The sequence below is a fragment of the Homo sapiens genome, chromosome 10, assembly GCF_000001405.40.
Source record: "Homo sapiens chromosome 10, GRCh38.p14 Primary Assembly".
NCBI classification, from domain to species: Eukaryota; Metazoa; Chordata; class Mammalia; order Primates; family Hominidae; genus Homo; species Homo sapiens.
This window is the reverse complement of record NC_000010.11, coordinates 18659398-18682404: the sequence shown is the minus strand read 5'-3', so window position 1 is coordinate 18682404 and position 23007 is coordinate 18659398. Positions and strand designations below refer to the sequence as shown.

Below are 23007 nucleotides of genomic sequence, written 5' to 3'. Positions count from 1 at the left end.
GTAGCAGAACTCTTAAGCCTAGGTACCTGAAATTCCTAACCTTCTACTCAAAATTCCTAACTCTGTAATTATGAGTCATTTTTCTACGTAGGCAACTTTTATCACATTCCCAAAGAGGTCTGTGAGCAAAAACGGTGGAGTTAAAACCACTTTAGAGGAATGTGAAGAATGAACATAGTGAAAATGTTATCCCACTCATTATTAGATCTCAATTTTATTTTATTTTTTACAAGGACACAACTTTGGTAGATGATCCCAATTATACCCCACAATGGAGTACACACCAATCCGGATCACCTTCCCAGGCCAGGGATTCCCCTTCTCTGGTAAATGCACCTTCCACTTGGCCAGTTGTTTAGATCAGAGAGAGGAAATGACCCAATGCAGGCTAATGAACAATTTCCCTGGGGAATATGGAATTGTAATTGAAAGTCTAACAATAATCTGACTTCTCCCTTGTACAAATTTAGGAGGCTACTGGACTTGGGACATTATCTGTTATGTGGATCAGGAAACAGAGAAATCCAGTCAGGTGAAAGACAGAAACAGATGAGCAGGAAAAAAGGTAACTTCCTGCTTGCTCCTAAATGGTCCAGTCTCTAGTCTCAGTCTGTTCTACAAATCCAGTTGTTCCGTGGGTTCTGTGAGCCTCCACCACCTCACCCCAATTATCCTCTCTTTGTTGGCATAGGTGGGTTTCTATTATTTGCAAGCAAATAACTTAAAGCAGATTTACCTTTAAAAGAAAACACTGGATTCACTTCGTATTGGAAAAGTAATTATTTATTATGACAAAAATAAAACTGTTGAATGAAAACAAATGAATGTTACACTATATTGCACCATGATTGGAAATGAGCCAAAACCTGTCTAAAAGATGAACATTCCAGAGCAAACAGCATCGTTTTACTTGGGTTAAGTAGGCATGCAAACAACTCATTATAACATAATTGCAGAAATAAAAATTATGAGTACTGGCAACCTAAACTTAACATATAAAAGAAGCACTTCATAACTAATAAAGTATTAAAAACTTTAAAACATGTCATTTAAACAATCCCACCATCAGGAAAACATGCTTTGAACCATTTTCAAGAAGTGATCATGTGAATGCATTAATTTACTTGTTTTAAATTTTTTGTTGTTGTTGTTAATGCTTATATATTGGACCAATGGAACACATTTGTTTGGCTGGGGTTCAGACACACAGTTTGTGGTGTGAAAGACATTTTTCTTTCCTCTGCACAATACCGGAGGACCCACAGAGCAATCCAATTCCTAATTCTGACCTTATTAATACCATCTTCCAGTTGACCAAGCATAGTAATGAAGATATTCTTAGAGCTTTCGCAGAAAGCCTGAAGCTTAAGGAGTAACAACAGTTTGTATTTAAATCTTAAGAAATGCACATATATATGAATATAGACACTTTAAAGTTGTTTTGCATTCTGAGGCAAGAAATAATAAATACTGAGTACAGGGCCTGCTGCTTCCTCTTTAATGCTCTAAAGCACCAATTTATGTTAAAATAGCAAAGTGTGATTATAATCATTCACTCTGATTAGAATAAACGCAACACCAAGGTTGTAATTGCTGTTAGGTTTTTGTTGTTGTTGTTTTTAACATGCTCTGTGGAATAGATGAACATGGTAAAATTTGTAACTATTCTGTAATTGAAAAAAATCATGACCGTTTTATTTTACACTTTCACTGAAATAGCAGCTAAACTTTTTTTAAGTCATAAATAAAAGTTTTTGTAACTACACTCAACAGTTTACTCCAAGAGAATAAAATAGGGGCTTCAGAGTCCCTAAATTTCCTGAGGGAAAATATAAGATTAAAATGATTATGGTCTCTTGTGAATAGGGCTTAAATATGCAAATAAGTCACTGATGACTGGGATCAACTGATAGTCATTTGATATCTTACCAACACTGATGGAAATATATTCACAGTATAAAAGAATCCATCAAATTTAGGATTTCTCCTTTCCCTTATCTAATTAAACTAATTAAATATTGACTGAGCACTTTCCTATGTGCTTTAATGAAACCATATGTGAATCTCATATATCTACCATGTTGGCCCAGCTGGTAAACAAGAGTAAAACAAAACAAAGTCTCCAAGGAATGCTATCCCTTAGTTATGAATTTTGCATATTTCAAATACAGTTTGGGTGAAGGGGGTTTTTATGGGATGGTACAAACATCCCACAAACTTGAGCAAAGCACCTTATGGATTGAAAAATGAGGTAATTTTTTAATTAAAATTTTACAAGTTGTGCAAGAAAACATATCCATTCTTTTAAAACTTTGTTTTCTATTCCAAAAGCTATGCACAGCACATTTCATATTTCTCCATTTCCAGGAGAAAATGTAGATTACTGGTTTAAGAAATGCAAAAGATGCCTTTATGTGACTACAGTTCCAAATTCTAAAACCCTAATCAGTCTTCACTCCTTTGGCCACATTAAGAATAATACAGGCCATCTAGCTGTATGGTAAAAAGACAGTATTTTTTAGTAATTTTAAGTACCCTAAATACGAGGAGAGGCAGAAATTCACTGCTTTCATTCACATTTTCTCTTACCTAATATCCTTTTGAAGTTTTTTCGACCTCATGATATTGTCTTTACTTTCAAGTGCTTTGAATTTGTTTTTCGTATGCTTCTAAACCTCCAAATTAATATTTCCCAAATGTTTCACCAAACTATATACATTTAAAGCTGCCTTTAGGTCTGAGGGGCACAATTTTTTTTTCTGCTTTAAATTTAAAATGGAATAGTTGAACATATTTTTTTATATTGGTCTTCCTCTATTTATTTTGGTCCCCTAAAATTTTTTAAAAATACTTTTTTGGGGAACCTGGCTTTTGGATTTCAGTCTTCACAGTAAAAGTGAATGAATAAGGAGGAGACGCTACTGAAAAACTAACCTTGAATATAAACCACTTTCAGATTTATGTAGACATTTATGTAGACATTTGTAAAAGACTGACAACCTGGCTACTAACCCTACTCTTTCAATATGGAAAGTCACACAGAACTATAGACTGGGGTGGCATCAAACGGCAATAAACTCTGAACAAATTAACCACTTCCATTCAATTAGTACAAGCCAAGAAAATAAGGTAAATTATCTAGAAGAGAATTATTTCCAACACAGGCTGGTTCTTTCTAAGCAGCTTACTATCCTTTTCTTAGCAATATGGCTTGTTTTCTCTTTTGCATTGTCATTAGCTATTTCTATTCAGCTATTAATTCGCTGAATTTAAGTTGAATAGCAGTTACTGATACGTTTTTCCCTACTTGGTTGTATTCGTATTCTAAATAAAATAACAGGTGGGAATCAAATAATGGATAAAAATACATTTAATTTCATATTACCTGTATTGCCCTACTATTTGAGGGATTTTTAATTTTTAATAGTAGTATATAAGCATTCAGAATTTTAAAACCAAAAGACATTTTAGAGCTGTAGTTTAAGTTCCTCAGTATGGGAAAAACAAAAGGAAAGCCATGGACACTAATTGTCTAAGGTCAACTAGACAATTGAGAAACGGCCAAATTAAGGCTCAAATCCACTTTTTTAGATGGCTAGCACAATATTCTACTAGATACAAGACACCATGCTGTATCTTGAAGTCACTTTACCCCGGCAAAATGTAAAATAGCCTTTAGGACTGAATTAGAGTGAAGTTTTTTTGGTTCCAAAGCTGTAGACAAAAAGTCTGCCTCATAAAGTTGGTCTCCAAAGATAAATTCCAAAGAAATTTATCCATCTTTAGACACGACACCAGCACATTTTTCTACTGATACGGTTTTACATAGTTAAGGACTAAATAAAAATTGATTATTCAGAATGATTATGTTTATAATTTGTTCTAAGAAACTACACTAAAAAGATTTTTTAAAAAAGCTTCTATATTCTTTAAAATTTTCTTTGTGACCCCCACAACTTTTCAGAGAATATTGTTTACAGCACTGCCTATCACTGTTTCCATACTAAAATAATTATTTTCTCTTTATGCTATAATGAAAGTTAAATTATGCTTAATCAAAATGACTATGGCTATGGGGTGGCACTCATTTAAAATTTTTCAGCAATGAAACTTAAATTTATTACCTTTCTTCTAATGAATATAGAATAAAAGTATTGATACCTTTAAGCATACTAACACAAGAAACTAAAAGCAAAAATTACATATTTAATCTTCAGCTTTTAATAGATTATATATATTAATATTCCAGGTTTTAAGGAATTAAGTTACATTAACAATAAAAAATATTCCATATATTCCCTTATAAAAGGTTCTATTAATTCTAAGAGTTCTCAAATGGGCTTCAATAAGAATGATGGGTTTAAAGATGAAGGACATGACACGCTCAAAATTAAGAAAAATGCTGTATTTGAACTTGCAAGGATAATTGAACACTTTGGTTATAACATACTTAAAAGATTTCTGTTAAAATTTAATTTCCTTGTTTTCAAATTAAAAGGTAGAACAGTCTCCTGAAGGTAATGTAGGTGGGTCCCTTGCTTTTCACTTACTATAAACTGTGCTAACCAATACATGGAGGTGAAGGGGGATATAAAACACAAATTATTTCATCACTGAAATAATTAGCTGCTAACATGACTTCTAAAGAACAGGTATAATATAAAACTAAGAACTTATTTCAAAATATGAATAAAGGCACTAATTACAAATGTACATTTTTTAGACAGTATCTTACAGTTCACTGATTTACAATGAATGTCAGAACCAATGCTCTAGTATTAGATACTTGCTTGGGTTAAAACATTCTCTTGGAGTAAAGAATAATCAGTTTTCACGTTACTGTGACAGGAAAGATTGAGTGAAAACCTAAAAAATACTCTTAAAAAGTCTTACATGAATTTCCTAATCATGAACTTTTCCCAATCAGCACCGTCTACACTGATGCCAATTTCATCTTCAACACATGGCTAACATAAATCATTTCTAATCCAAAACTAACCAAATATTTTTTAAAGGATTTACAAAATAAATTGTATTTTAAAAATTAAATAGCAAATTTGAGTCTATACTAGTAGTTGGCAAAATACAATCAACTATTAAAAACACTTTTAATATAATGCTGATGTGGTAATATAAAAAATAACCATATAATTTGACAGAAGAAAATTGAGCCAGCCAATCTTACTAGATACAAGAAGGCAGATAGTCATTTCATAAGAACAAATACAGGAGTACTAAGTATGCTTTTTCTCAGGACAGACTTAGGGAAACTACCCTCAGTACTTACGGTAAACAACACAACCAAGCAGAAATTCAGGCAAACTGTGCTTAGGTAAATGGCATTTTCTTAATTCCCCCACATCCCACACACACCACAAACCATCCATATCGATTTATGTCTGCTTTTCGCTCATGTTCTTGATTATGGGTTATATTAAAAACTAAGTTAAACTACACTTATCCTCTACTTGATACAGAATCACTAAGAAAACGGCTTAAAACAAAGTTAAACAACTACTTTCCAAAGCCCAGAAAGCTTTCCTTTGGCCACTGTTCAGTTCAAGGGTGTGCTCCAACTAAAGATAAATCAGAAAAATGTTACCACATTCGACTAAATTAACTTGACTAAATATAATAAACCAAGCACACCTGAAAAAAGAGCAAAATTTAAATCAACTTACAAAAATATTAAAATTAAAATACCAATTTTGAACACATATTTTGATATTATGAACTTTGTATCTTTTTTATCAAAATTAAAAAGTACTGCAAAAATGAAGTATTATTCTCTAAGTATTCATTTTATCCCTTTCATTTCAGCAAAATCACACATTTGAATAAACAGGATCGAAATACGACACTTGTCTTTCCTCTTAATTTAAGGAATATATTGTTTAGATTATTGTTCATATTAGACAACTGCCTCAAAAATGTTTTAATGCCATCCAATAAATAAACTTTTGATAGATTATGACTTTTTTTAATTTTAAGTTGTTAAGAATATTAACTTTGAGTCTCCTATTAATATTCTAAAAGCTAGGATTCAATTCAGCAGTTTCCTATAACATTTTAGAACCCAAGGCATAACTACAAAGATGGCAATTGTTTCAAGTCTATTACATAATACCGTCAAATAAATTCAAGGAAAGCCATGTAGTTTTTTAAGTAACATACTGCTGGTAGTAAAAATGCTATGACAGACACGACTTCAAATTTTAAGAAACAAAATGGACTGTTCATACTTCGGCTTCAGCTACTGCCCAAAGCAGCTGTGATATATCTTGCAAAGAAAAGAGCTAAAATTTCTGTTGATAATAAAGTTGTTTGTAAACTGATGCTAAAATATATTCCAATTGTCTTATTTTTAGTGCTGGTATGATTTACTAACTTCTGATAGTTTTATATGCATTGAATAATGTGATATTCTTAAAATAACAGATTTATTCAAGAATATTTAACATCAAAGTTGGGCTTTCAAATAAATATTTTACCTTGGTTAGTTTTTGAACAAATGTTGCAGGCAGAAGAGTGGACTTGATTCCTTTAGATAAATAAACAGCCTACTTAATTTCCATGCAAATAACAACTTAAACATTATTCCATGACTCAACAGTAATGTGGGGGAAAGTTAAAAGGCAAGTACTCATGATGTGGAATCTTCCTTACATATATCCTCTAGGCAGATTTCTTTCTTTACAGTAAGTTCTGTCCGAAAGATGAATGGTTTATAGAGGGAACAAATATATTTAGTGCTGGAGAAGTCTGCAGGCAGTACCTGATGGTTTCCAAGACTACTCTATCAAACCAGTAATTCTCTGGTTGGGAGGGAGTGCTGGTCAAGAATTGAAAGCAATTGGTCATTAAGGTTATAAGAATATTTCAGAAGACATCACGCATATGACAAACATTTCTTACAAGGCAGTCACTGATTAATTAGAATAAACAGAAGAATTGTTGCTGAAAACATAGTTATACATTACATTCATCCAACTGAAGATTAGTGTGTTAAAAAAAAAAAGTTAAGAAAAAATCTTTTATGTTCCAGTTCAGCTGCACTTGATTCAAGTGTTGCTCTCAGAGGTTTGTGTTGTTATAAATTAAACATGCTGCTGCCTTAGCAGCCAAAGGTACTAGGAAAAAATGTTCATGTCACAGAATAAATAGAGCAGTCTCTTTCAAGCAAAAAAGTTATCTCACACCAATCCGGGAGGTCATCCACTCTAGACCTTGGCATAACCTAAACAAAAGATAGAAGTATTTTTAATTAAAAACCTTATACTTAAAAACTGAAAGCGTACTTATTATTTTTAGGTCTTAACCAAAGGCTGGTAGCACAATCATTATTTATATACATCAGTGTCAACATTCAAGTCACACTATAATAAGTGAAATTTTTAAATGGAATGTTCTCTTAAATATTCTTAATCAGTTTGTGGGAAATTGCTTCAGTCTCATCTTGAAGATACAACTTTGCCAGTTTTGCCATGAAGAGTGCAAATACTCCCCGCCTTTTAAAATTAACTGAAACTTAACGACTGGAGAAAGTCAATAGCAACTTCACCTTATCCTCCTCAATTCTAAAGAATGGAATACTTAGACTCAGTCTTAAAAGTATGAGTCAAAAAGGCCTACACACAGCTATTACTGCAAGCTATTTCTGATAAATACTAAGAGAAAAACTAAGAAGGTGAGGTTGATTTGAGGATAAGTTCTCTGATATAAACAGGATAATACTTAAATAACATTCGGTTCTTCTTGGCCTAATACCCACATTCAAATTGTTAGAGATGGAAGAATAGACCATGTGGCATTTGTCTCAACTGTTTATTGTCTGGAAATATGCCTCCCAAAAGACCTCCTAATAATAAAGAAGACATACTCTTGCAGAAAGCTGAGAGCTCAGGTTTAAGTCCTTGCAGAAAATGTGAAATTTCTTTCAAGCTTCCTTTTTAAAAGAAAGGTGACATTACAGTTTTTTTCTCAGTATATGATAAAGGCAACAAAGAAAAAAATTTGGATTATGAAAACTCAATTCAATAGTTTATTGCTTTTTGGTAAAACATTATATTTACATTAAAAGTTTTTAAGTTGCCAGTGATTTTACTAGAATTATTTCTAGGTTGTAAGCCTGAGACACATTATAAAAGTCACCTTTAATTAAGAACAAACAAACAGAAAAGGAACAGGACCCATGAAGAAAACAAGTTGGCCTAAAAAGTTGGAAGAAATTTGAAAGAAGTCATACCTCCCCTCAGACGGATGAACTTACCCTTCTCCTGTGAGAGCACAGCAGGATTGAATGTGCCATGGATGATCCTTAATTGAACTAAGGGTGAGGTATTTCGAGATTTCAGCTGCTGTCATACACCCTTTCATATCCTGTTTATTTGCAAAGATAAGGACTGCAGCCTTCCGTAAATCCTGCAATCAAGACAAAATATTTCTAATATGTGAAATACCACAATTTAAATTTACCCAGCTGAACAGTTATAATGAAGTGCTTCTACTTTAACATAATCGGGCACTAGTATTTAACATAAAAATAATCTCAAATACCCGTAATTTCATTATTCATTCCAACAGATTAATATTAAATAATTATTTTTTATTTTTGAGTCGAACTGGTCAAACTGAAAAAAAAAAATACACCTGAATTTTAAATACTGACTCAAAAATACATAATTAATATTCTAATAGGCAAATATGGTAGTATGTTGCCAAATACTAGAGTTTATCCAAAACTTAAGAGTACTGGTGGTGGGAGCTGGGCAATACTTATTACTTACTAGTCTTTGTATAACATAAGGTCATTGGTTAATATTCATTTCAGCATTGTTTATACTATGAAAACATTAGAAGAATAGATTGTGATATACTCATACTGTGGAAAACTATACAGTTGTTAAAAGGAATGAACGAAAGCAGTACATATTAAGATGGATAATCAGAATATATTATCATGGATAAGTCACAATGTTGTACAAAAAGAGCAAGATTCAGAAAGATATATATTATATAGTATAAGTTTGAAAAACATGGAATACAGGCCAGGCACAGTGGCTCACACCTGTAATCCCAGCACTTTGGGAGGCTGAGGCAGGCGGATAACGACATCAGGAATTCAAGGCCAGGCTGGCGAAGATGGTGAAATCCTGTCTCTACTAAAAATACAAAAATTAACCAGGCGTGGTGGCGGGTTCCTGTAATCCCAGCTACTCGGGAGGCTGAGGCAGAGAACTGCTTGAACCCAGGAGGCGGAGGTTGCAGTGAGCCAAGATCGCGCCACGGTACTCCAGCCTGGGCAACAGAGCAAGACTCCGTCTCAAAAAAAACAAAAACAAAAACAAAAAACAAAAAAAAAACCTTTCAGTTATTGAAACTTTTGGGGAAAAGACCCTTAAGTTTTCCTTTTGCTTATCTCAATTTATCAGACTTTTAAAGGCATGCTTAAGTAACTTTAGCTTTGAAAAATTTTTACAATAACAGTAGTAATCTACAAATTAATGTGTTAGGGTTTTTTAAGTTTGAAAAAGTAATGAACATTTTTTTTTACCTCAAGACTTTCATCAGTTTAGTACATAAAGTTGTGTTAATCATAAAATAGCCAACATCATATCACATTAATCTTTGCAAAAAAGCAAAGGCAACGTACAGATACTTTACTACACTGTTTTTTAAAGATTTACTTTAAAAATTTACCTCATGAGCCAACATTCTGTATAATTCTTCTTTTGTAATAGCTAGTCGTTCCCTGTCAATGCTATCAACAACAAGAATGATGAACTAGAAGAAAATTAAAAGGAAAGACAGAAAATTGAATGGGATGCTGAAAAGTTTTCTGTAAAACTACTCAAGTAATCTAAGTACTTTCTCTACATGGCATCATCATTACTATAAAACATCTACTGCTTTTTCACCATAAACAGCTTTTATAATACTGAACCACATCAAGCAGTAAAATCCAAATGTTAACAGTAAGAAAATAACTCATAGCTTCAACAAATAAAAACTGTGCCCCACTTGTTTTATTTTAAGTGATGCCCGAATACATAATACTATGATTTGTTTTCAAATGCTGGTAGTAAAAAGCAATTTTTGAAAAGAAACTTACACTAATTTCAATAATATTTTTCACTAAAACTTCAAAGTACTCCATTATCATTCATCTAAACAGTCAATAATTGCTTACTTGTGTATACCACAATCTCCTAACTCTTAGAAAGAAAAGCTAGTTTGAAAGAAAAAGATAAATGCATTTTAAAAATAAGACAATTTTATAAAACAGTATCCACCATAAATGCTCCAGATTGAAACATATATACTTAGGCATTATATACTGGAGATTCAGGTGAAATTAAATAAAGGCAAGACACCAGAAAAAAGAGGAGAAATCTGTTGGTAAAGCTATACATGAAAAAAGGGAGTTTGCATATTAAAAAATAAGAAGATATAGGCCAGGCATTGTGGCTCACACACATATAATCCCAGCACTCTGGGAGGTGAGGTGGGATGACTGCTTGAGCCCAGGAGTTTGAGACTAGCTTGGGCAACATAGTGAGAACCTGTCTCTCTACAAAAAATAAAAATTAGCCATGCACATAGTCCCACCTACTTGGGAGGCTAAGGTGGGAGGACTGCTTTGAGCCTAGGAAGTTGAGGCTGTACTGAGAATCATGCAACTACACTCCAGCCTGGGTGAGAGAGAGGCCCTAACTCATTTTTTAAAAAATGTGGGGGGTGGGTGAGGGGGAGGAGGAGGAGGAGATGGAGGAGATGATACAGCGAAAAAGCACCCTTAAGCTGAACACTGTATACAGAATAAAAAGTTAAGAAATGAGATGAAATGATGTTATTACAGCAGGAGATAGATGCAAAATAAACTGAGACATGAAGGGTAGAATTAGATTACAGAGATGACTTTAAAATTAGGGAAACAGGCTAGGTGCAGTGGCTCACACCTGTAATCCCAGCACTTTGGTAGGCCGAGGTGGGCATATCACTTGAGGACAGTTCAAGACCAACCTGGCCAACATGGTGAAACCCTGTCTCTATTAAAAACACAAAAATCAGCCAGGTGTGGTGGTGTGTACTGTAGTCCCTGCTACTTCGGAGGCTGAGGGAGGAGAATCCTTTGAACCTGGGAGGCGGAGGCTGCACTGCTCTCCAGCCTGGGTGACAGACTGAGACTCCATCTCAAAAAAATAAATAAATAAAAAACAAAAATAAATAAAATTAGGGAAACAGACAACTAATCTGAATATAAACTGAGTTGGGCTTAGAAGGGAATAAACGGAAAGAATGTCGCGTGGCAAAGGAGGAATCAACAGAATATGGGAAACAACTGTGAGTTAATGAGAGGAAGGTGTCAATAATTACTTAATACCTGTAACTTCTTGTATTATAATGGACATACTACCGCTTTTGGGGGACTCTTCCACGTGAAGAATTTTCAAAATGCAAAGTGACAGGCGCCACTGTTCTTTGTAGTAATTTTGATATTCTTGTAGAGATCACTTATTAAAAGAACGTTTCATGCAAATGGCATCAGTAATGGATATCTCTTTCTGGACCCATGCTAAGTCCTCCAGAGTTTCAGTCACTTCAAGAACTACCCTTTCGACACACTTTAAGTACATATGGATTCACTAGAATCAACTTTGACCTATTCATCAATGATAACTGCCCTTTTCACAGCTGGAGTTAACTGTGAGCTTAAAACTACTAACAGCTCTGATGTTTAAATTAATCATATGCTACAATGTCATTTGTCCCTTACTTTCTTTTCTTTTTTTTTGAGAGAGAGCGAGACTCTGCCACCCAGGCTGGAGTGCAGTGGTGCTATCTCAGCTCACTGCCACCTCCGCCTCCCAGGTTCAAGCGATTCTCATGCCTCAGCCTCTGGAGTAGCTGGGACTACAGGCACATGCCACCATGCCTGGCTAATTTTTGTATTTTTAGTAGAGATGGGGTTTTGCCATGTTGGCCATGCTGGTCTTGAACTCCTGGCCTCAAGCAATCTGCCCACCTCGGCCTACCAAAGTGCTGGGATTACAGAAGTGAGCCACTGCGCCTGGCCCTTCCCTTACTTTCTAACTTATTCTAGTTTCAGAACATTATTTTACTGTATAAATGTATAAGCTACCCTTTAACTATATTATTTGCTTACAGCTTCTGCATACCCAATAAAATAATTCAGTGCTACCACAAGTTCTGATTATCTATGATACGCCATCTTTGTTTACTTACACGTTGCATTGGAATATATACACACATACACACATGCTATTATAATATAAATCTAGAACAATACATGTTTTTTAAAGAGGCAACTTTGTTCACCAAAAATTATTCATATTATATCCTTTTCTACCTCTTCCCTTCCAACTCCAATTTTTTTTTTTTTTTTTTTTGAGATAAGAGTCTCGTTTTGTCACCCAGGCTGGAGTGCAGTGGTGCCACCTCGGCTCACTGCAAACTCTGCCTCCTGGGTTCAAGCGATTCTCCTGCCTCAGCCTCCTGAGTAGCTGGGGACTACAAGTCTGCCCCACCACGCCCGGCTAGTTTTTTGTATTTTTAGTAGAGACGGGGTTTCACCTGTGTTAGCCAGGATGGCCTCAATCTCCTGACCTCATGATCCACCCGCCTCGGCCTCCCAAAGTGCTGGGATTACAGGCGTGAGCCACCGTGTCTGGCCCAACTCCAATTTTTAAAAGGTTTCATTTTAGAAAAAAATAATTGGTTAGGTGTACTTCTTTGCAAAGAACAATTAAATGGATGCAATTGTGAAATCATACTATCAAGGATAAATCTCTCTAAACTACATTGAATGGCTTTTAAAAAAATCTGCCTCTAATAAGAAATAAAAGCAGAAATAGAACATGAATATATCCAGGTTTGTTCCCCAAGTTAGCTCTGAACTCATAAGTGGCAGAGAACTTTGAGAGATGATTTGCAAATCTACTTTTTTCTAATTAAAAAAAAATCTACCAACATTTTGAATGTTCATGGTATAAAAAATTTTTAAATTAATAAAATATTTTATTCCTCCACCGGTCAGGGTCTCTTAGAAAGTTGTGAGATCTTGGGGAAACCTACATAATATCTCCACGTGTCAGATCTCTCCAACCCTGGAGACATGAAAATCTTGTGAAGATGAATGGAGAGAACCTGGCCAAACAGTAAGCACTCAAGTAATAATAGCTCCAAACAATCTTTCTATTTGCCTTTTCTTTTATTCGAAAACCCAAATTCTTAAGTCTCATTTATGAAATTTTTATTTATTTATTTTTTAAAAAAAGGAAACCCAAATTCCCTACAAAAAAGGATCTTATTAAAAGGCCGGCCACGGTGGCTCAAGCCTGTAATCCCAGCACTTTGGGAGGCCAAGGAGGGTGGATCACGAGGTCCCGAATTCAAGACCAACCTGATCAATATGGTGAAACCCCGGTCTCTACTAAACATACAAAAATTAGCCGGGTGTGGTGGCACTCGCCTGTAATTCCTGCTATTTGGGAGGCTGAGGCAGGAGAATGGCTTGAACTCAGCAGGCGGAGCTTGCAGCGAGCCAAGATCACTCCACTGCACTCTAGCCTGGCGACAGAGCAAGACTCCGTCTTAAAAAAAAAAAAAAAAAAGGCAACTGTCAATACGCCCAGGTGCAGCCTAATTACTTTCTATGTTTACTCTAGGGACCTTTGGATTAAAATTCAAAATTCATCTTAGCATACCTCTGTATTTGAGTAATATGTGTTCCAGGATGATCGCAGAGACTCCTGACCACCAATATCCCACATAAGAAAATGAGTGTTCTTCACAACTATTTCTTCAACATTGCTTCCTATGGTTGGAGAAGTATGAACCACTTCATTCATTAAGCTGTTGAAAAACAGACACCGTAAAAGCTCTTGTAAATCTTGAGAATCTGAAGCAACTTTTATCTCTGTATTTTTAAGATCAATCAACCTTCTGCACCAATGATGGTGATCATTAGCATGAAAATTATAAACCTGGAGAACACTTGCGCAAATCAATATCTAGATAACAACTCCAGAAGAAAGACTTGTTTCTTGTTTGTTTTTTTTTTTAACGGAAGGAATTGCAAGCTTGATGGAAAAGAAAGGAAACAGTGTGGTGTGAATTTGCATTTCTGTGGCCAAAAATTCCAATACCACCATGCCCTGTTATCAGTTAGATAAGACCCAATGTCCCATGCCATCCTGAAAAGCAAGTTTCTAGGTGATTGCAAAATAGCAAATATTGGATAGCAGGCTATCTATAATTTTGAAGACTGTCTAAATTGAGACTTAGTCACAAAAATTAATTCAGGCATATTAATCTAAAGTAGTCCTAAAAAGATGACCATGGGCAAGTAAAAATTTAAATTAACTATAGATATATTTAGAAGGCCAGGTGTGGTGGCTCACACCTATAATTCTAGCACTTTGGGTGGATCACCTGAGGTCAAGAACTTGAGACCATCCTGACCAACATGGTGAAGCCTCGTCTCTACTAAAAATACAAAAATTTGCAGGGCGTGGTGGTGGGCGCTTGTAATCCCAGCTACTCTGGAAGCTGAGGCAGGAGAACCGCCTGAACCTGGGAGGTGGAGATCACGCCATTGCACTCCACCCTTAGAAACAGAGCAAAACTCTGTCTCAAATATGTGTGTGTGTGTGTTTGTGTGTGTGTGTATATATATATATATATATTTAGAATACTGATGCTCATACCCCTCGTATTATCATAATCATTGGTAAAGCTACATTAATCAATTAATTCAACAAATATGCCCTTGCCAGTAACATGTCACTACTGTGTTGGAGGAGGCTTGCAATTCTCTTGGGTTTTATGTATATTTTTGAAGCCATGTGTAAAATTATTTCAACAAAGATGACAGGTTTCTGAAATGTTTATATGTGATGTTTAAAAGCTAATTCATATTTAAACACATAATCACCAATGAATGAAAATGTTTTCAAGAGAAACAAGTAGTTGTTCAACTCTGAAACAACAAACTTTAAGTCAGTAGCTTTTTAGCAAAGTAGCTGAAAAATGCGTTAATCACTGGCTAATGAAGTACTTCTGGTGAGCTGATGGCTGTCTTCTAATGCAACATGAGTGGGAAGAGGTAAGAGCCACACAATGGGGCAAAGAACTGTAGAACTATTTTGTTAAAGTGCCTGGTAGATCCACTTCTACTGCTTAATACTATCATTTCATTGGCATTGAAAGGATAATGGAAGGTACTCTGACAAGTGGAATGATGAGCTGTGAAAATTTCCTAAGGTATTAACAGATTTCTCTGAAAGTCTCAAGACTCTCCCTCTTGCAAGCTACTACAGCAATATTTTCAGGAGTGATCACATTTCTTTTGACAAGTCTGGCTATGTTAAAAAATTCCAAAGCTATTAGTCAGGAGGGTAGCAATGGCTTCCTAGAGCTATCAATTTATTTACATAAACCCAAGTGGGGTAAGAACTAAGTGAAATCCACTTTATCACCTCACCCCAGCACTTCTAATATGCGCTTTATTTATTTAATATTAATTTCTTTCTTTCGAGGGCAGAAAACAATAAGTGTTTGTGAAGGGTTTAGCAAATGTTTATTTCACTCACTTTTCTATAGATTGTGTTCGGTAAAATTAAAAAAACAAAAAACAAAAAACATATATTTAAGTTTTTCCGTCATTATTATAATGCATCTCTTATTAATTGTAAACACATTAGTTTCAATAACTAGTGAAAACTGTTTAATAAACACCCATACTTACAATTGGTAAAGAATGGTGGTTTTCCCTGCATTATCCAGTCCCACTATAATTACTTTGTGTTCTACAAAAAGAAAGCAAATCATAAACATTTAACACTACTGCATTACTGCAATTACATGCTTTCAACAATGATTATTAGTTAGCTCATTAATGAGAATCATTCACTGAATATCTATCACTAGACTTAAAATGCAGAAAGAAATGTTATGATGTTAAGGCTACCTAGGTTAAGTAACAAAATCAATTATCATTGATTCTCTGTCTAGTTCTCATGTAAAAGAATGTGGGAGATGGGTAGGCAGGAAACACCAGCAAAGTTGGTCACTTATATTGCATCTAGGGGAGAGGAGACCCAAATATTAATCTAGGCAAAAATTATAACCTAAATGTAAGTTTTTTAAAAAGCCTGTTTTACACACCTTTTTAGCTCTGTACCAATCAAGTTAGCTTTTTATCAAAATGTTTTCATATCTGTAAGTTTCCCCACCTATGTATACCAGGATCTGTTTCTTCCTCTCACTTAAAAATCCCATGTAAGCTTAAAATTGAAACGTTTCATGTGTCACAAAGACAAACATATACTCTCAAGTTTTTACACAATTACTCATTGTTTAACATTTTTTCAACCGGCTTCTACAGTTCTTTTGAGCAGATTCTGTTTCTGCTCTTTGTACAATGAAAATCTCTTCAGTTCTTTCCTCCTTTGGGTGCCATGCACTAAATATTCACCTCTTTTAATAAGTAGTTGCTAAAGCTCATCTAATTATTCCGTTAAGTGGTATATATTCTGCAATGTCCTTTGAATACAGAAAACAACCCAGATACCATCTTTCCTAGATTTTCACTTATGCCAAGTATACTAAAGATCCCCTTCTCCAAGGCAGAAGAATGCTTAAAAAGTTACAAGTTAACATCAACAGGGTAAGTAGGGAAGTTTCCACAGAATCACAACACAGTTGATTTGTAGGCAACGATTGGGCACATCTCATATCAGAATCCCGCTCTTCTTGATGACCTCTGGTGAATGTCAACATTCTGGTCATATAATCAACTATCAGCTCATATTCCTACTCTGAAGTTCTAAACTTCATCAGCCAAAAAAAGAGGGACCAAGAAAATTTAAGTTCTTGAGATGTGCAGGTCTTCCAATGACCTACACACTCTAGATACAGCCTATTACAGTGCAGGATAAACAGACACGGTCCTCTGGAAGGGCTATTTTCACTATGGTAGAAGCTGCTTTGTAAAACAAAACAAAACTTGCCTGCTTAGTATAACTCACTATAATTCTCCTTATTTATTTGAGACAGGGTCTTGCTTTGTTGCCCAGGCTGGAGTGCAGGGGCATGATCACTGCAGCCTCGACCTCCCAGGCTCAAGTGATCCTCCTACCTGAACCTCCTGAATAGCTGGGACCACAGGTGCACACCACCAAGCTTGGCTACATGTCCTCTAATGAAGCTAATCTTTAAGTATTACCCTGTTTGTTATCCCTTAAAGTACAAGAACCTTTATCAGTGAGGAACAAACAGACTGCCTGGCACTAAGCATTCTAAATTTTGGTGACAGCTAGAAGCTCCACCTACCAAGCATCTACAGAAAACAACATGCCTGCAGTGGTGAGAAGGAAGCCACTAGTTTAAAGATAAGCAAAACTTGAAGGCAGATAATCCTGTTGGGAGAAAGGAATGGAAGGACAGTACCAGATGGCTCCTTCTTGAAGCAACTCAAATGAAGACCCAGGTCATTTGCAAACAATCCTGCTCCTTGCTTCACTTTTGCACTATGATGCTTCACATAATACTGAAGGCCTGTGATGGTAAAACTCACCAATAATGCACCATTTTGAAAGGTAGGTCCCTAACATGAGGAAATGTTAGGTTAAGACACTACTGTTAGGCCAGGCGTGGTGCCTTACGCCTGTAATCTTAGCACTTTGGGAGGCCGAGGTGGGAGGATCACGAGGTCAGGAGATCAAGACCATCCTGGCTAACACGGTGAAACCCTGTCTCTACAAAAAATACAAAAAAATTAGCCGGGCATGGTGGCGGGTGCCTGTAGTCCCAGCTACTTGGGAGGTTGAAGCAGAAGAATGGCATGAACCCGGAAGACGGAGCTTGCGGTGAGCCGAGATCGGGTCACTGTGCTCCAGCCTGGGCAACAGAGCGAGACTCCATCTCAAAAAAAAAAAAAAAAAAAAAAAAAAGACACTACTGTTACTATCAGTTACAGTAAATCAGAATGTTTTAGGCCAGGTGCAATGACTCACACCTGTAATTCCAACACTTTGGGAGGCCAAGGAGAAGTGATCAGTTAAATCTAGGAGTTTGAGACCAAACTGGGCAATACAGTAATATCCCATCTCTTAAGAAAAAAGTTAGCCAGGTCAGGCATGGTGGCTCACACCTGTAATCCCAGCACTTCAGTAGGCTGAGGTGGGCAGACCACAAGGTCAGGAGTTCAAGACCAACCTGGCTAATTTGGTGAAACTCCGTCTCTACTAAAAATACAAAACTTAGCCGGGCATGGTGGCAGGTGCCTATAGTCCTAGTTACTTGGGAGGCTGAGGCAGGAGAATCACTTGAACCTGGGAGGCAGAGGTGGCAGTGAGCTGAGATTGCACCACTGCACTCCAGCCTGGTGACAGAGCAACACTCCGTCTCAAACAAAACAAAACAAAACAAAAACAAAGAATGGTCTGGAAGACAGGATGCAGATAGATGATAAGTTTAAGTTTAGTGTGTTTGAAACCTGCTTACAGTCCAGAGTTAAGAGCAGAATAAGCTGGGGCCGGGCGCAGTAGCTCACACCTGTAATCCCAGCACTTTGGGAGGCCGAGGTGGGAGGATCACAAGGTCAGGAGATCGAGACCATCCTAGCTAACATGGTGAAACCCCGTCTCTACTAAAAATACAGAAAATCAGCCGGGCGTGGTGGCAGACACCTGTAGTCCCAGCTACTTGGGAGGCTGAGGCAGGAGAATGGCATGAACCCGGGAGGCAGAGCTTGCAGTGAGCCGAGATAACGCCACTGCACTCCAGCCTGGGCGACAGAGAGAGACTCCATCTCAAAAAAAAAAAAAAAAAAAAGAGCAGAATAAGCTAAAGAGAGAAATGTGAGCCACAAGATCTGAGATCTGAGCAGTCAGAAGTAAAGGACAATAATCATACGCAATTGGCAACCAGTGTTCAAAATGATAACATGAAATTCATGGATTGGAAAGAAATGATTAAATTATGAAATTAAGATGTTACTGTTACATGGTTCTGAAAAAGAACTACAATTAAAACTGTATTTCATTTGTTCTTAATTCTGGGTAACACTAGAAATAACTGGCCAGGTGCAGTGGCTCACGCCTGTAATCCCAGCACTTTGGGAGGCGAGTAGATCACCTGAGGTCAGGAGTTCGAGGCCAGCCTAGCCAACATGGTAAAATCCATCTCTACTACAAATACGAAAATTAGCCAGGCATGGTGGCAGGTGCTTGTAATCCCATCTACTCCAGAGGGTGGGGCAGGAGAATTGCTTGAACTTGGGAGGCAAAGGTGGCAGTGAGCTGAGATCACAGGACTACACTCCAGCCTGGGTGACAGAAAATATAACAATAATAAATAAAATTTAAAGACATCACTGGGCCAGGCATAGTGGTTCACGTCTGTAATCCTAGCACTTTGGGAGGCCAAGGCGGGCGGATTACCTGAGGTCAGGAGTTCAAAACCAGCCTGACCAACATGGTGAAACCCCACCTCTACTAAAAATACAAAAATTAGCCGGAGTGGTGGTGTGCGCCTGTAATCCCAACTACTCAGGAGGCTGAGGCAGGAGAATTGCTTGAACCCAGGAGATGGAGGTTGCAGTGGACCGAGATCGCACCACTGCACTCCAGCCTGGGTGACAGAGTGAGACTCCATCTCATTAAAAAAAAAAAACAAACAAACAACAAAAAAAGAAATAACTGATGACAGGTTTCCACAATCATAACACTGAGAGAAAAAGACTATGCCTACAAAAGTTCAAAAGAAATTTAAAAAACAATGCAAAACTTTAGAGGTGAGCTATCAAACACACATAACACATATGTATTTCACAGAACTACATTAACATATAAAATGTTTGCAGAGATAATCAGAATTCCAAATTATTTCCTTGAATAATAACTGTCGAAGTAAACAGGCTTCCAGTTCAAACAATACAAAATTGCAGGAATTAACTTTTACATTGCTTTACTTAGACAACACACGCTTTAGTATACTTATTCACAGAAAGGTATCTAATTTATAAGACGCATGAGACTCTAAAATGCTACAGGAAAAAAAAGGATGAGAATGTGGAAATACTGGAAGAAAGACACGGGAAAGGAGCACATAAAGTAAGATCAGTAGTTCTTAACACTGGCTGCACATTCGATTTACCTTGGCAGTGATGCCCAGGCCTCTTCACCCCAATCTAATTTAGTTGGTGTGAGGTGGCGCTTTGGGCCTGTTATTCTAATATATCTAATTCCACTGGAATAGATAAATATAGTTACAAAAATGGAAAATGCTGAGATTGGTAGTTAATTTTGTTGATGCAGAAAACAAAAATATAGGCTAAGATACATCTGTGGATTAAACCCTTCAGTGAGTCCCATTCCTTGCTCTAGAGAGTTTAATGTCTTAGTCAACACTGGAGGCCCTCTGTGATAAGGTTCTCCTGGTTGTCTTTCCAATCTCATCTCCTCTTCACTCCTCGCAAGCAAACTAACACACAGCCAAGCTCAACTATTTTCAGCTTCCCTAAAAGTACCAAACTAGCTCATTCCTCTCCCTTTTGCATATTAGCTCTTCTGCCTAGAATAACACGTCCCTTCTATTCGGTCTGTCTAGCATGCCACCCAAATTCCTACTCATCATTACATTACGTCCAAGTATACCTTGTGCTGCAGCCAACGTTATATTTTTACACATATCTGTTAAATAATTTACCACACTGCATTTTTTTTCATGTTTGTCTCGTTTATTGATGTTTGAATACTTTGCCAAGAAGTAAGGTATCTTTATTCTTTAATTTTGTATCTCCTATGCTAAACTCTGAAGACTGGCCTATGGCTGTATGAATGAATAAGAATAAAATAACAGAATAATCACTGGTTCTAAATTTTCCAACAGGAAAGTTAGAGGAAGAGAAAAATTCTAAGTAGAAATGGAGATTCAGGAGGCCTGAACAATTATGCGAGTATAAAAGTAGCCACTGGATGTCTTTCATCACCATCTACATTTTCCCCTTACATCTTTTATTACCTCTAGTCTGAGTAAGGACACCTCCAACGAAAAAAGACAAGACAGCAGCCATGTAACAGAAAAGGGAGAAAGGAAAACGGGAAAGGATATAAAGGGAAAACCAACTACTTCGGTAACGTTTCGATTCTCCAGCTCAGGGGAAAGAGAAAACTGGTGATTTTTGTATTAATCTTTATACCTTTAAGCATGTCTTAAAATGCTGTTTTACCGCTGGGCGCGGTGGCTCACACCTGTAATTCCAGCACTTTGGGAGGCCGAGGTGGGTAGATCACCTGAAGTCAGAAGGTCGAGACCAGCCTGCCCAACATGGCGAAACCCTGTCTCTACTAAAGATACAAAAATAGGCCGGGCGTGGTGGCGGGTGCCTGTAAATACCAGTTACTCGGGAGGCTGAGGAACAAGAATCGCTTGAACCCAGGATGCAGAGGTTGCAGTGAGCTGAGATTGCGCCACTGCACTGAAGCCTGGGCGACAGAGAAAGACTCTGCCTCAAAAAATAAATAAATAAAAATAATATTTTAAATGTATGGATAATACCCACAAAGTGTGAAGCTCTGCTCACTTTGAAATCATTTGATAAGTAATATTATCTGTGGTTACTGGATACAGGCATATACATATATATACACATGTGTGTGCCTGTATCTATATTTATAACCTTGAAAAAGACTGCTTTAGTGTTCTTATCAATCTACAGAACAAGTCAACTAAAGCCATTCCATTACCTCCACAACTTCTTAAATCCAGAAAAAGATTAGATACCTACATTAGCAGTAACAAATTGGTACCAACATAAAAGGAAATAAAACTGGCTTATTAACGATGCCCGGCTCTTAAATGTAAAATGAAACGAGTTGATTTTCAAAACTGGTTTCAATTACTAAGAAACCATTCTGTTCAAAGGACGCCTCAAACTTTAACTTATCGTCGGCCCCTTTTTTGGTCTGGGTGTTTTCTCTCTTCAGAAGACATCACATCTCATTCTGATTCAGAACAGGTTTTGCAACTTCTCGGCCCTTTGGACCTGCCACTTCCAGGTGTCTCATTACCTGTTACAGACTAATTACGGACACGTAACGTCTTACACAAAACCGAAAAGCATTTAGTTTCTGAACTAAATGCTTTAAAAAAAAAAGTTTACAATGAAGATGCTGGAAAACTCGTGCATCTGAATAGGACAACTCATTCCCAAGTCCTAGAGGAAAGGAGGCGAAATCAGAGTGAAAGTGCACTGGCTTACGGCTCAAACTGCAGGGCGGGAAAACAAAGCACCTACATTACTCAAAAAAAAAAAAGTTCTAGGTTTCTGGGCGGACACTTATCCTGGGGATACACATAGACACAAGCACGCTTCAATAAAGACGAGAAAGGCCCTCCATACGCCTCCTGGCATCATTAGCTGTATCCCGCTTTACTTCGCCAATATCCAAACATTCTCAGTTTGGATTCTGGGACGCCAAATACCTTCTCTTCTGCCTCCCTATTTCTCCCACACGTCAGGTCTCTCCTGTACGTCCTCCAGGTCTAAAACACTGAGTTTCTGCCCGCCCCCTGGCCTAAGTCCCTTCCTCCTCCGCGTCTCCGAACGCTCTGTCCCCTGTCTCCGGTGTCCCCATCGGCGGCGGGACCCTCTGCCTCGGATTCGAGCCGCCGCGCAGCTCCATTCTTCTCACCTTGGTTACAGAAGAGGCTCCACAGTTTGGCGAAGATCAGCCCCATCACGAGCACCGGGGCGGGCCGCGGGGTCCCTCGGCAGCAGGTGCCGCTGCGCCGGGTCCCCCACCGCGGCGCGGGCTGCGCGGAGCCGAGGAGAACCCGCCTGAGATCGCGCAGCGAGGGCACTGCTAGGCCGAGAAGCCTCGACCCGACCACTCAGAAGGCGCCGCGACGAATCCCCACCGGACAGCCCTTTGTTTCGAGCCCACTGAGCCCAACGCCGACCCGTAGTCCCCTCGGTCT

At 37.3% G+C, this 23007-nt stretch overlaps 1 protein-coding gene across 3 annotated transcripts, besides 1 other annotated feature; it reads right to left on the bottom strand.

Annotated features, from left to right (window-relative positions):
* Positions 1-765: 765 nt before the first annotated feature.
* On the bottom strand, positions 766-22974 carry ARL5B (ARF like GTPase 5B). 3 transcript variants are annotated; one of them, NM_178815.5, is made up of 6 exons: positions 22722-22974; positions 15770-15830; positions 13728-13875; positions 9700-9783; positions 8270-8421; positions 766-7237 (listed from the first exon to the last, which is right to left on the bottom strand). In NM_178815.5, exons 1-6 carry the CDS (start codon positions 22765-22767, stop codon positions 7189-7191), a joined length of 540 nt encoding a protein of 179 aa, NP_848930.1. In that variant the 5' UTR covers positions 22768-22974; the 3' UTR covers positions 766-7188. The 3 variants fall into 3 exon arrangements, with proteins under 3 accessions (NP_848930.1, XP_005252458.1, XP_005252457.1); XM_005252401.5 differs by lacking the exon at positions 22722-22974 and adding an exon at positions 22513-22678; XM_005252400.2 differs by lacking the exon at positions 9700-9783.
* Positions 22806-22885: a silencer, noted in NCBI's record as "silent region_2184". NCBI's record gives its function as "represses an Ori minimal core promoter by ATAC-STARR-seq in GM12878 lymphoblastoid cells {active_cell/tissue: GM12878}" and the evidence as "EXISTENCE:reporter gene assay evidence [ECO:0000049][PMID:35858748]".

Bases quoted from the DNA above. Each gene is read 5' to 3' on its own strand.
- ARL5B (NM_178815.5), bottom strand. From the start codon at position 22,767: ATGGGGCTGATCTTCGCCAAACTGTGGAGCCTCTTCTGTAACCAAG. The intron at 15,831-22,721 runs GTGAGAAGAATG...TTCTTTTTGTAG, and splicing joins GAGCCTCTTCTGTAACCAAG to AACACAAAGTAATTATAGTG. The intron at 7,238-8,269 runs GTAAGTTCATCC...TCTTTTGTTTAG, and splicing joins TGTGCTCTCACAGGAGAAGG to GTTATGCCAAGGTCTAGAGT.